A 14,759-nucleotide genomic window follows, 5' to 3' on the forward strand; every position below is an offset into this window, starting at 1 on the left:
GCCACCCAGCCTGTGGTATTTAATTATGGCATCCCAGGCCGACTGGCAGTTACCTAACTCAATCCTTAAATGACTTCCAGATCATCATCATTAGACCCATATTCAAGATAAGAAACTGAGGCAAAGGGAGTTTAAGTCACATGATATAGGTGACACAGGTATCCAAGTCACAATTCTTTTTTTTTTTTTTTTTTGAGATGGAGTCTTGCTCTGTCACCCAGGCTGGAGTGAAGTGGCATGATCTTGGCTCACTGCCACCTCTACCTCCCAGGTTCAGGCAATTCTCCTGCCTCAGCCTCCCAAGTAGCTGAGACTACAGGCACCCACCACCATGCCTGGGTAATTTTGTATTTTTAGTAGGGATGGGGTTTCACCATGTTGGCCAGGCTGGTCTTGAGCTCCTGACTTCAGGTGATCCGCCTGCCTCGGCCTCCTAAAGTGTTGGGATTACAGGCGTGAGCCACCACACCTGGCCTGCAAGCCCCAGTTCCATCCCAGGCTTTGAAACACGCCTCCTGGGGGGAGATGAGAAGCTTGGCTGCTTGAATTCAAGTCTGGAGTTCTGACATTTCACTCTGTTGCCCTTGGCAAGTTCCCTTTCATCAGTGCAACTCAGGATTTTCATCTGTGAAATATGCATAATTTGGGAAGGTTAATGGCAACACTGAGTGCCAGCAAATGAAGACTGTCTGTTGGGGTATTGCCTTAGACAATGAGATTGGATGAGAAAGACCTGGAATGAGTGACAGGGCTTTGCAGGATGGCTACTGTTCACTAATCATTAAAATATTAATAACTATTATATAATAACGATTACAGAAAACAGTATAGTGGTCCTTCAAAAAAGTAGAGACAGAATTATCATCTGATCCAGCAATTCCATTTCTGGGTATACACTCAAAAGAATTGGAAGCAGAGTCTCAAAGAGGTATTTTTATACCCATGCTCATAGTATTATTTTCAATAGCCAACAGGTGAAAATAACTCACGTGTCCGTCTGACAGATTGATGGAGAAGCAAAACGTGGTATATACATGTAATAGAATATTACTTGGCTTTAAAAAGAAAGGATATTCTAATGCCTGCTGCCACATGCATGAACCTGGAGGATGTAAGTCAAGATGAAATAAGCCTGTCAAAAAGACAAACACTGTGTAATAACTCTTAGAATTCTCATGGTAAGAGGAACCGCCTTGAACATCTAGCCAGAGAGACTGGACTTGAGCCTTTGGGAGGATTTCCTGTGAGCGAGGGCTGCTTGCCTAGACGAAGTTGGGTGAGGATACTGCCAGGGTTTCTCTCCCTGGTTATTTTTGTGATAGGATAGAAAGCCGCCAGCCCGTAGTCCTGGGCCTAATGTTGGTAAATGGCGGTGGTGGCCACGCAGCTCCAACCTTGCCACACGCAGTCTCCTTGCCACAGCATGAGAGCTGTGTCGAACATGATAGTCTGTGGGATGTGCTGTTTGGGTGCTGAGGGCAGAAGATCAGGCTGTGATGCTCCTATCTGTGACAAGGAATAAGATATTCAGCCTCGTTCTGTCTCTCTGACTGTACAAGGGCTGGGAAGCTTTACTTCATGGGTGTGTGGAGTGACACCTCCTCTGTGAAGCCCTCCCAATCTTCCCCAGCATAGACTTCATGCGCTTCTTCCTCTGTGCTCCTGGTGGACCTTAGAACATACCTCCATGAGGACGTATGCCATACAGAATCAATTTTGGGTGGGAGGTCTGGGTTACTACTGGGTCCCCAGCACATTGTTGATGCAATTAATATTTATTCAATAGGTGAATTCAACAGGGGGTCCTGAGTGTGGAGGGAAGAAGACCCTCGTTTGGCTTTTCCTCTCACTTCCCTTCCCAGCCCCCACCTCACTCTCACTGCTATATCATTTCACTCTCCTCTTTGATTTCCTCTGCTGCCTGTGGTGGGGGTGGGGGTCGGGGTAAGGGGTTGGGGGGCTGGAGTGGGATGGGGGAAGGGAGGCTAAACCTAGTTGGAAAGGATGGTGTCATGAAGTCAGTCCTAATAAGATGTGAATTGGATTGATAAGATTTAGCAGCTACGTCTCCCGGAGGCCCTTGCACCCCAACTGTGTCAGTGACTTGATGTCACAAAAGACAGTGTGTGGTAATGGGCCCCCATACACACATTTCCCAGTGATCCTCACTTCTGGGGATTCACACCCCATGTAGCCCCTTTCCACATGGAATCTGGGCTGGCCTGTGTGATGAATAGAATATGATGGAAGTGAAAGTGGTGACCTCCAAGGCGAAGTCAAAAAGGCATTGCAGCTTCTGACATGGCCCTTGGGTCAGCTGCTCTGCAGGAAGCCAGCTGCCATCCCATGAGGATGCTCAAGTAGCCCTGTGGAGGGGCCCCAGGGACACCGGGCACGGATCAACAGCCGGCACCAATCTGCCAGCCATGAGTGAGCCACCTTGGGAGGGGAACCTCCAGTCCCGGTCCAGCCTTCAGATGACTGCAACCTCAACTGACATCCAACTACAACTTAGTGAGTGACTTTGAGCCAGAACTGCCCAGCCAAGCTGTCCCTGAATTCCTGACCTACAGAAATCATGAGAGATCATCAGTGGTTATTGTGTAAGTCTCTGAATATTGGTGTGAGTTGTTATGCAGCATTAGCTAAGACAGACAGGAACTCCAATAGTAGAATTTCAGATATAAAGACCCCTCCCAGAATTGAACTGCCCACTTCCAGAGTAAGGCAGGGGCTGTGTGGTCTGAGAGTGGGCTACAGTCATCTTGCTGCTGTATGTGCTCTGTGTTTGTGCCCCCCTGCCTGCCCCCTGCTTCGGCAGCCTTGGCATTGCTCCCCACTCCCTGTGCCTGGATTCCTCAGGCCCTGCCCCAGCACTTGGCACTGTCAGCATGGTTGGCTCTGCTTGCTGTCAATATTCTTCCTAGCCCCCAGGCCAGGCTGGTTTGGGTGAGGACCACAATGCAACAGATGAGTTTCCTCCCGAAACCCTTCAGATTCTCAGTCACAGTTTCCATGATTGTTTTGGGAAAAAAAAAAAAAAAAAAAAAAAAGAACCAGGTTAGGTATAATTTCCTGCTAGAATCTGGAGGGAAGAAGAGCTGAAAATGCTGAAAAAATTTTTAAATCTTATATGACCAATGAACTTATTTTGCTCCTAAGTTATTCTAAGCAAAAAGACATACTCAACCAGAGAGCAAAGGCCTTGAGGGCAGGCACTGTGTGTGTCTTCTCCCTTTCTCTCATTCGTTCACTCATTTGTCCACCTGTTCGTTCATTCATTCATTCATTCATTCATTCATTCAACAATGTGCATGCAAGTACTAGCTATCAGGCACAATGATAAACACTGGAGAGACAGCAACAGCTAATAATTTCTGCCCTTGGGGAACTTACAATAGACAAAAAAATAAGTAAAATATACTCAAGTTGAATATTTGCTGGCAAAGCATATTGTGAAGAAAAATAAAGAGGAGAAGGTGGAGAGCAAGTGTCAGGGGGTGGCTGCCATGTTAGTGAGTGAGCCGGGAAGTCCTCTTTGAGCAGGTGACATTGAGGACAGGCTGACCGAGGTGAGGCCTGAAAGTCCTGTGATTCCTGAGGGAATCCAGGCAGAGGAGCAGTTCGTGCAGAAGCCCTGCGGTGGGAGCACCCAGAAGTTTTCCAGAGCTGGTGAAAAGCCTCTGTGGCTGGAGCCCTGTGAGCAAGTGCCAGAGTAGCAGGGGCTGGGGTCACGGGGCAGGGGGTAAGATGTGGTACGTGGGCGTTTACTCGCAGTGAGCTGGGAGCCATGTAGAATCTTGGCAGCAGTGTTTTGTGGCAGAGCACATTCTGCCTGTGTCTCATTTACCCTGATGTCTCCTGTGAGATGCAGACAGGGACCTAAAGTTCCAGTTCCCATCTGCTCATGCAGGGCCTTCCACCCTTCCCCTGCCCATGGAGTGTCAGGTGTATTTATACAGTAGGCCCTTGGCAAGGGTTGCAGGTAGCAGATATGCAAGTGTGTGGGCATTCAGATGTGCAGGTGTGCCAGCTTGGGCCTCTGTAATCCCTGACATCCATTCTCTGAGAGCCATATGGAGCAGCCTTACCAGGGCCTCACTGCTGAAGCCCATTGTGGGAGCACCCATGTGGGTGCTCCTAAGTCGCCTTCTCCCAGGGAGCTGGCAAAGTGTAGACTCTGTGCAGGGGCAGCAAAGAGACCATCTCCCCCCATCTCTGGGACACCTGTGTCACCTCTGTGCCCATGGACACTGCTGTGGGACCCGGCTAACCCCATCTTTCCACCAAGAAGCACCTCTGGATATGGCTCTTATCCACCTGTAAGCCCATGCAGGCACAGAAGCCAGGGCGTCCCCTGCTCATTCTCACTATTCTTTTGCCCAGCATGAACTCCACCCTTCTCATGTGATACAGAAAGGCCTGGATTCTGGTGGGTGCAGAAGGTGATGAGAGCTGTCAACACTAGTAGGATCTGTGGACCCCGGGCCAGGTGGCCAAATGCCTAGGATGCTCACATTTGGACACTGGTGTCACTGCTTTCTGAGATCCCTTCACACTCATCTCCTCTGGTCACTTCTCATGTCACCACGTTTGGTTTGGCAACTCTTGCGGGTGGCTGCCAGGCCCTCTTCTCCTCTGCAGGCCCCTTCTGCTTCTCCAGCGCTGACCAGAGTTTTTGCCTTTGATGTCACTTCAATGTAATGTTCACCACCTGAGTCACGTAGTAGGTGCTTGGCCACTTCTGGAGACAGCCTGAGACAAATGTTGCGTGACAATCTTAGACACCTTCGAGGGGTGTCTTCCTGTGTTTGCACTGTGCACGTTACACAGTTGTGTGCATGCCAGCACCGACAAAGCCCCCATGTCCCTTTGCTGAGCAGTTTTCAAGCAGGGCTGTTGTCCTTGCTGCTCTGACATGGTCTCCTTGCTATTGTTTTCATCTTTATCCTTCAGACCTCAGCTGAGATAAATCTTCAAGCTCTTCCCCCACCGCCTGAGCGAGCCTATGACTCATGAAGCCCCATGCTTGAGAACAAACAGGCTGTCTCCTCTTCCCCGCCTCTGCCCTCTGTGACCCAGTGCTCTTTCTCCAGCAATGATGAACCTTTATTGCAGCGACAGGGCAGGGTTTGGTCCTGGGATGGTGACATTATTAAAAACAGATTTAGCAATGCTCCAAGTAGTTAGTCCGCCTGCTCTGTAATGGTTTATCATAGTCATAAAGCTGACTGTTGGGGTCAGCTGATCTCTGCTTTTAGACACGACCACACCTACGTCATTCCAATGAGATGGAATTATCTTTTATTTGTTGTTATTTTTTAAAGGCCTCCAGAGAGAGCTTAGAGCTCCCCCTCCTTCAGAAACCTACTCTGGCGTTACAATGTTGCTGGGGCCATGTCATTGATCTGTGTGTGTGCATGTGTGTGTGTGTGTGCATGCATGTCATGTGTACACGCTGGGTTTCTACAGTGATTTCTGCCCCCACCACTTGCTCTCTATCCGCCCTTCTTCAGGCACAGGGTCTGAGACAATCACAGCAGAGGAGCCTGCAGACAGCAGCGCAGGTGGGAGCTCATGGCGTGGGAAGAGGCTACACATTTCGGTGCCTGGATTCCAATCTACCTCCTTCACTGACTTGCTGTGACCCAAGGCAAAGCTGATTAGTCTCCCTGAGCCTCAGTTCCCTCAAGTGTGAAAGTCATAATAACTGAATTTTCAGTGCCACCAGGATTGGAGGTAATATATGCAAAGTGCCTCGTCCATAGTAGGTGCCCCATAAATACCTGCTATTATTGGGGATAGAAAGAAAGTGCCTGTGGGTGGCAATGGGAACATTCTGACTTGAGCCTCTCCTGAGAACAGAATGTGGTCTGTGTGGGCATCCATCAGTCAGGGGTGAGTCCTCCTGGGAAGCCTCCACTGCTCACTGCATGGGGACCCGAGACTGCCTGAGCTGGGGTGGTGCTGGCCCCAGGGCCATTTGCACCCCTACACGTCCAGCTGACTGGGCGGAGCATCCCGTCCCCTGGCTGTGGAGGACATGGTGCAGGTCCGTGTGTTCTGCGGGGTGTGATGCACGTTGCCTGACTTCATGAAAAGCAACCTGTCCCTAGGCTGTTGGTTTCCATGGCAGCGCAGGGAAGAGCAGCCAAGCAAACAGGCAGCTAGGCTTAAAAAGAAAAGTAGCATGATTTGGGAACCTAGTGACTGTCGTAGTCAGGAGTATGCAGAATTCAGAGATTTGTTTATGTAACAAATATTTATTGGGTCTCCCCCACGTACCAGGCACCCAGGATACATCAGCGAGCATAACAGATCAAGATTCCTGTTCTTGAGGGGCTCACTTTGTGGCAGGTGGGGATGGGGAGGCAGACAATGATCAATAAACATAATAAAAAATTATTCATTATTCTAGGAGGTGATCTTTGCTACAGAGAGAAAGAAAGCAGGGCAACAGGACTAAGGGTACTGGGTGGAGGTGGGGTGGGTTGCAAGATTATAAATAAGGAGGTCAGGGCTGACCTCCTCAAGAAGGTGACATTTGGGCAAAAACTTAAGCTGAGGGACTTACCCTGTGCAAAGGCCCTGAGGCAGGAGTGTGCCCGGTGTGTTCAGTGAACAGGGAGGAAGCAGTGAAGCTGGAGAGTAGGGAAGGATGGAGCAAGGAGGAGGCCTTCTGGGCAGGGAGGTCATGGAGGTTGGATCACGTCTAGTCTTTTGACTGGGGCTTTTCTACTGAATGATCAGCTAGGGGGCTGTGAGTGATCATCACTGAGAAGTGACGGTGGTGGTAGTGGAGCTGGAGAGGAGTCCAGGGCAAATCCTGTCCCATAGATAGTGGCAATTGAATAGCAGGAACCAGATGAGCATGTAGATGACTGTAACGCAACGTGGAAGACACTGAGTTGCATCCAAGAACGTAAAGGGGATTTGAAGGTGGGAAGGAGCACCTCTGGCTGATAAGGATCATAAAACTGGCCAGGCATAGTAGCTCACACCTGTAATCCCAGCACCTTGGGAGGCCAAGGCAGGTGCAGGTGGATTGCTTGAGCCCAAGAGTTTGAGACCAGCCTGGGAAACATGGCAAAACCCCATCTCTACAAAAAAATACTAAGATTAGCAGAACACGGTGGCCTTCACCTGTGGTCTCAGCTGCTTGGGAGGCTGAAGCGGGAGGATCGGTTGAGCCCAGGAGGTTGAGGCTGGAGTGAGCCGAGATTGTGACACCGTACTCCAGCCTGGGTGACAGGGCCAGATCTTGTTTCAAGAAGAAAAATTATAAAACTCTTTATCCGTATTAGAGATGGGCTTTGAAGGAGGGCTGGACTCCAGTGGAGTGCAGGTGAGCAGATGGTGAGGCCAGGAGCAGTAGCAGGGGAAATGCATGCTGGGGGTAGGATCAGATCTTTCTCTCTCTCCAGGACTCACTGCCCCCACCAGCATGCATGGGAATCTGAGATGCAGACAATGGCTCAGACCAGTGTGTGGGCTGGCGTGGTGTTTCAGGTGGGAGGACCTGACATAAGGGTGGCTGCTGGGAGCCTGGGAAAAAGGGGAAGCGTGTGTTGTATGGGACCTATCTCATGGTGGTCAGGGGAGCACAGGGGTGCCGTGAACAGAGGTAGTTTGGTGGCGACTGGAGAAAAGATGGAGGGTAAATGTGGGGAGTTTGCCTTTGTTTGCACTGAGATTAGGATGTCTCACAGGCCATGGTCAAGGGGGTGGAAAATGCCAGACAAACTGTGTGGGATGCTCGGCTTTTTATTGATCTGCACTGATGTCCTCGTTTGCTGAGGTGCTTACAGAATCCATGGGAAGTCTGCAGGATTGGGCTTGGAAAAGGGGAAGGAACCAAGTGAAACCAAATGGCCAGATGTACGGCCAAGGTCAGGTTTCTGGCAAATGCTGGGTGGCATCCTGGCATCATTACAACTGGAGGTTAGGAGCCACCACTGCAGGCAACGAAAGAATCCATTCTAAACTGCCCAGTGCTCTAGCCCCAGTGCCCTGGAACAGAGCATCATCTGCCAGGGGTGGGGGAGAGGGAAATCTTGGCTTTCAGCTTTTATAGTGAGGTGCGGGGTGGCTCTGCTTCCCAGCAAGGTTTGCACCATGGCAGATTCTCCGAACAGAGCAGAGCGTCAGCCTCTGGGAGCAAAGGAGATGAAAGTCCTTGTATGAGTTTGCTACATCCGCTGTAGTAAAGTACCATCAACTGGGGGACTTAACAGAAATTTATTGTCTCACAGTCTGGAGCCTAGATGTCCAAAATCAAGGTGTTGGTAGGGTTGGTTCCTTTTGAGGTCTGTGAAGAAGATTCTGTTTCATGCCTCTCTGCTGGCTTCAGGTGGTCACAGTTGTCCCTTGGGCTTGTTGATGGTGTCTCACTGTGTCTTCGCCTTGGCTTCACTCAGTGTGTCTCTGTGAGCATGTTTCCCCTTTTTCTATGGACACCAGCTGAACTGGTCAGGGCTCAGTCCCTAATGGCCTAATTTTTAACTTGCTTACCTCTGTAAAGACTCTATTTCCAAATAATGTCACATTCTGAGGTAGTGGGGGTTAGGACTTTAATGTTTATTTTGGGTGGGGGCCCCAATTCAATCCACAAGAGGCCCCCGATAGCAGTGTCAGTTTAGCTTTTTTTGTGACTTCACTTCCTGTCAAGAATGGGATGGTTTTCATCCTGACAGTTTTAGAGATATATTTATGTAACTGTCAATTTTTATATGATGGAAATCAAATAAATCTGCTTTGCTCTTTCAATCATTCATAAAAATCAGTTAACAGGCTTTGGTTTGCTCTCAGCAGTTTCTGTTGATAGATGGTAGATCCAACACTCTGCTGTGCTCGCTCAGAGTGTTCCTGGCCATGGGATATGTTTTTTCCATTATTAACTTTATTGTTGTGGTGCAAAAATCAGTAGGGAAAGTGAGGCTGCTCCCATTGTTTTTGGACCGAAAAAACATGTTCAGCACGTGGGCTGTGTGCAGGGGCCAAACACCAATTTGCAGCACAGACCCGTCACTCCTGGCCCACCCAGGAGTTGCTTGCTCCTCAGACGGAACTCTCCCCGAACATGTTTGATGTCTCCGTGGTTTTAAGCAAAAGCTTAGAGTCACACACAGCTCCGTTAGGCTCGATGTCTGGGACACCTCTGCTCTTCTGTTGGATGAGCTTTTCCTGTCTTGTCACCTGTGTCTTTGCTGTCAATTCTGTTCTCTCCTGAACATTATTCTGAAGGAGGATGTGAAATCTTTGTGCCAGGCCTAAACCCCCTTTTTTTGTTGTGTTTTGTTTTTTGAGACAGGGTCTTGCTTTGTTGCCCAGGCTGGAGTGCAGTGGCGAGATCATAGCTCTCTGCAGCCTCGACCTCCCAGGCTTAAGGGATCCTCCCACCTCAGCCTCCTAAGCAGCTGGGACCACAGGCACACATGTGCCACCATACCTGGCTAATTAATTTTTTTTTTTTTTTTTTTTGCACAAACGGGGTCTCCCCGTGTTGCCCAGGCTGGTCTGGAACTCCTTGGCTCAAGTGATCCTCCTACCTTGGCCTCCCAAAGTGCTGGGATTACAGGCATGAGCCACTGTGCCTGGCCAGGGCCCCTCTCTCCACAGTCCTTTTATATTTGTGTCACCTACTCTTTCTCCTACATCTTCCTTCTGAGGCCCAGCAGGCCGGACATGATTGGCTCTACTTTGTGAGAGAACAGGGCCGTGGAAAGCAGAGAAACACCCTGCAACCTTGTCTCCCTCTAAAAAGGGCTAGAAAAAGGAGACTTGGGAGTTAACCCAACAGACCCCCAAACTAAACTTCTGTGGAACACAAGGAAGAGAGTTAGAAACACAGAAGAAGAAAGCAAATCGTCACTTGCGGTGTTCTTTGGAGAGGGGCTTTCTGTGCAGACGTCCAGTGAAGCCCCCAGGCCGTGGGAAGCCCGCAGAGCAGAGTAAACAGGAAACGCCGGGAAGCTATTTTTATTTGGTGCCGTCTTTACTTTCCCCTGTTTCAGTGGAAAATGAGTCTGAATTCCACAAAACTCCTTAGTGAACAACAAATATAACTGGAGGCAGTGCCAAGACTGTCATTCCTCAGCAGTGGTTTGGACACGTTTCTTTTCTGCGGACATCTTGGAAGGCTCAGGCCCATGCTGGGCAGGAAACAGGTGGTTTGCTTTAGAGAAGGCCCGTGGAAAGGCCAGCAAGGCAAGCCCTGTGCCCCGGGTGACAGATTTCTGTCCTCCCCTGCAGAATCCTGTTTTCCTGTTAGCGACTGAGAAGCAGGGTGGGCCCTGTCATGTTCCGGACAGCAGTGTCCCAGGTTGCCACCCCGAGACCCCCAAGCCAAAGGAGAAAGGTGGCCATTGCGTACCAGGTTCCGTGGGGGTGCCCACCCTGTTCCAAGGCACAGCAGCGGAGCCACAACCTGGTGCAGGAGTTCCTAGCTTGGGGGTGGTGAGAGCCCAGGGGATGGGGCTGCGCTACTTGGAGGCGCCTCTTCTCCCGCGACCCGGTTCATTTCTCTGGTTTTGCCCTAAGAGCCACCTGCTCAGATTTGCATTCCTAGGTGGACAGAGAGTCAAGGAAGGAGGTGTTTAAAGGGCTCTTTTGCTGTTGTGCTCCCCATTTTTATCCTGTCTGTGGCTGAGGGAGTTGACCTTTCTCTCCACACTGAAAAGGGTTCCCAGTATGTCCCCTGCTCCCTCAATGTCTTTTTATGCATCATCGCACCCCACTCCCAACACACACACACACACACACACACACACACACACACACACACACACACACACAAATACTCACTCAGCAGATGCCTCAGCCGTCATCCAGTGACCATGCATTGAGAGTACTCTACATACCTTTAAAAAATAAGGGTATACCGCTCATTAAGATTAGGCCTGGGATCCACCAGGGACTCCTGATCATTTTCTTGGGCCCACTTTCTTCCATCTTCTATCTGAAGGTTGTCCCCTGCCACTATGGACTCTCACTGAACAGTCCTGCACCATAGTGTGAATACTGGAAATGATGGTTTTCATGAAGTATTTCTCAAATGAACTCATCCCTTCCCTGTCTGGTGCCAACAGCCTGATCTATCTATTGTCTTCTGGAAACCCAGTGACTCCCATGGAACTCAGGCCCTTTGGTGGCTCGGAAGAGTCTCTCCAGCCAGCTGGAGGGAGTTGGCTGTTACTGTAAGTGTGCCATGAACTTTATACACCTGCAACAGGTCCTGGGCTTTGCTCTCCTGGTCACCTCTCTCAGAGTCTTTGTTTTCCTTGCAGTATTTTCTTACTTCCCCTGTCTCTGCCAACAGATTTGGCTCTTAGCTCATTTACTCTCATGATTCACTCTTCCTTGTATACTATTAACCTTGGCTTGCCAAGGCCCTCTGTGGTCCCCTTGTACCTTTATATCTCTCTGGGAAGCCTTCCAGTATCGGCTCCCACTCCTACCTCCTTGACTGTCTCCATGCCTCTCACCCCAAGTTCTGGAGAGTGAGATTTTGGATGGCCCAGCCCATTCTTCTCTGGAGACAGCTGTTTTGCTCGAGGCCATCTCAGAGGTCACTGTTCAGCTCATAGCCTCGTTATGCTTGATCATTTCTGGTAGGATGTGATGAGCCACAAATGCAAAAGTAGAGTTCAGTCATTATTTCCTGAATATCTTTTATGCCATCTTATACTGAGAGTGACTGCCTAAGGAAGATGTGGAGTAACGTCCTTAAATTTTTTTTTTCAGACGGAGTCTCACTCTGTCACCCAGGCTGGAGTGCAGTGGTACCAGCTCAGCTCACTGCAAGCTCTGCTTCCCAAGTTCACGCCACTCTCCTGCCTCAGCCTCCCGAGTAGCTGGAACTACAGGCGCCCACCACCACGCCCGGCTTATGTCTTGTATTTTTAGTAGAGACGGGGTTTCACTGTGTTAGCCAGGATGGTCTCGATCTCCTGACCTCGTGATGCACACGCCTCGGCCTCCCAAAATGCTGGGATTACAGGCGTGAGCCACCGCGCCCAGCCCTTAAATTCTGATAGGTGAGTTTTATTGTTGTTGTTTTTGAGTGTTATTTGCCAGTGTGCATGGATAGGTGAGTTTTTGGAAAGATACTGATTATGTTCGTTAAGTTCAGTCTGCATCCCTGGAAATGAAGTTAATACAATCGTTTACCTCTCAAATCAAGCCTGAACTCTTAAATCTGTGTTATAGCTGGCCACTCAGGGCCTTCTTACTTGCTTTTCTAGCCTTACCGAGTTGCCTTCCTCTTCGTGTGACCCCATGTTATAGATGTTTACCAGGCTTGAACTATTCAGTTTCTTCTTTGCTCATGGGGCTTCCCCTTATGTCCAAATTCTACATGCACTTCAAAGACCAGGTCAATCCCTGTTTTAGTTTCCTAGAGTTTCCACAATAAATCACCACTAAGGAGGTCAGAAGTCTGAAATCAAGGAGTAGTCAGGGCTGTGCTCCCTCGGAAGGCGCTAGGGGAGAGTCCTGCCCTGTCTCCTCTAGTTTCTGATGGCTCTAGGTCTGCCTTGGCTTGTGATTTCAGGACTCCAGTCTCTGCTTCTATCTTCACAGGGCCCTCTCTGTGTCTTGCCTTTTCTGTCTAAGGACACTTGTCAATGGATTTAGGTGCCACCCAGGTAATCCCGGTTGCTTTCATCTCAAGATCCTGAATTTCTTTTGCAAAGAACTTATTTCCAAATATGGTCACATTCACAGGTTGCAGGGTTTAGGACATGGACATATTGTTTCAGGGGCCACCATTTAACCCACTACAATCCTGAATCCCTTTGAAGACTGTGCCCTAGACCTTTCTCTCCTCCAAGCTCCCATGCCCTTTAAGTCTCTTAAGGCATTTTCAACATTCAGTTGCACAGTGTAGGTACTTTGGCCACTTGTGCTAAGAGTGTGGGTTACAGAGCTAGATGTCCTGGGTTCAAATCCCAGCTCCGCCACTTGCCAGCTGAATGATACTGGTCAAGTCACTTAACTCCTTTTCCCAGGACTGGGACACAGTGAGGCACCTAGGGCACAACATTTAAAGAGGCACTCACTCTCAGGGTCCTCTCACCACCCCACAAGTCAGATTTTCATAAGCTTCATTAAATTGTGTGCCTTGGGCCTCTCTTGACTTACCCTAATCCCTGCCCTGCCTCTTATCATGGTTTTCTAATCTGTAAAGTGGGGATCAGGACCTCTCTAATAGAGAATTTTAAGGATGAAATGAATAACACAAGTAAAAGATTAGCAGTAAGGGCTCAATAAATGATAGCTATGGTTTCTCTAACTAGACAGGCAACTCACAAAGAGCTGGTCTAATTCATCATCATATTCCCAATAACTTTAAATTGCAAAAACTTGGAAGCTTTTTGCAATTGCAAGATGTCCTTCCAAGATGATATCTATTTATCTACTTGTCCAACCAAGTAGACGAATAGGCGAATAAACTGTGGTACGTCCAGGCAATGGAATACTATTCAGCACTCAAAAGAAATGGGCAACTAAGTGTAAATAGCCATGGAGGAACCTTAAATCCATGTTACTAAGTGAAAGAAGCCAATTTGAAAAAGCTACATACTATATGATTTCAACATATGACATTCCTGAAAAGGCAAAACTTTGGAGACAGTAAAAAGATCAGTGGTTGCCAGGGCGTGCAGGGATGGAGGGACGACTAGGCAGAGCACAGAGGGTTTTGGAAACTGATCTGTATGATACTATCATGATGGGCACATGTCACCATACACTTGTCCAAACCCGTAGAATGTATAACAGCAAGAGCGAACCCTAACGTAAACCAGGGAGTTTGGGTGATAATGATGTGCCAATGTAGGCTCATTGATTGTAACAAATGTACCACTCTGGTGGGGGATGTTGCTAATAGGAGAGGCTGTGCCTGTGAAGGGGCAGGAAGCAGATGGCAATTCTCTGTACCTTCTGCTCAATTTTGCTGTGACCTAAAGCTACTCTACAAAATAAAGTCTATTTAAAAAATGCATGTTACATTGAAAATTGTAGGTGATTGATTATATTTGAGTGAATTAATGAACATTTGCTAAGATTGAGTCATGTGGTAATTGAGCTAGTAGTCTATAATCAGGCAAATAACCCAGGCTTTGAGTCCCTGGGGTCAAGAGTTCTTGAGTTGATTCATCTCCTTGTTCATGCACAGTGTTTAGAAGGTTTAGGTGAGGTGCTTTGGATAGAGGGAGTAGAGCCCAAGCCTCAGAACATTTCTGAGGTTGGTTTTCAAATTAGAACCATGAGGGAAAGGCTTGAAAGTGGGATGCGTGCACACTGGATGGATTTGTTCATGTTTGGATAGCAGCAGCTCAAATGTGCAAAGTGGCTTCGGTCCATGCTTGCTGGTCCCACCAGGAATGGAGGGCTCTTTCTTGGCTATGCACTTGTCAGCTCCCTGGGAAGGAGATTCTTTCCTGGAACATGGAGACTATCTGACATCTTGTCTGGAACTCCATGAAACTCTTGGCAGCACCTGGCCCAGCAGGGTGCACCCCAAAACACCACATTTATTTGATATTGGGATTGATATTTCTCTTTTACATTGTGGTTGGGACTCATTAACTCTCAATAAGGACCAACATTAAAGGAGGAGTTTCCTCCCTCTCAGGAAAAAAAAAAAAAAGCTTCCTTGGATGGGCCACAGCTCCTGTAACTGATTTGCTCTTCTGGCACAGGACATCATGTTGTGTGGTACCCTGAGGCTGGTGAGAAAGGGAACAGACTCAAAAATT

The 14,759-nt window shown here is 48.7% G+C and overlaps 1 long non-coding RNA gene across 2 annotated transcripts in view; it reads left to right on the top strand.

Moving 5' to 3' along the window:
• The first annotated feature begins 2,164 nt into the window (after positions 1-2,164).
• NIPAL2-AS1 (NIPAL2 antisense RNA 1) overlaps positions 2,165-14,759 on the top strand; it is a 72,899-nt gene continuing 60,304 nt past the window's right edge. Inside the window, exons 1-3 of one of the 2 annotated variants that reach the window (XR_928443.3) lie at positions 2,165-2,603; positions 5,517-5,739; positions 6,289-6,466. This is a non-coding gene — a long non-coding RNA (NIPAL2 antisense RNA 1). Of the gene's footprint in view, positions 2,604-5,516; positions 5,740-6,288; positions 6,467-14,759 lie in introns of those variants that run through there. The other variant, XR_928444.3, reaches the window with a different exon arrangement.

Source organism: Homo sapiens, chromosome 8 (genome assembly GCF_000001405.40).
Source record: "Homo sapiens chromosome 8, GRCh38.p14 Primary Assembly".
Taxonomy (NCBI): domain Eukaryota; kingdom Metazoa; phylum Chordata; class Mammalia; order Primates; family Hominidae; genus Homo; species Homo sapiens.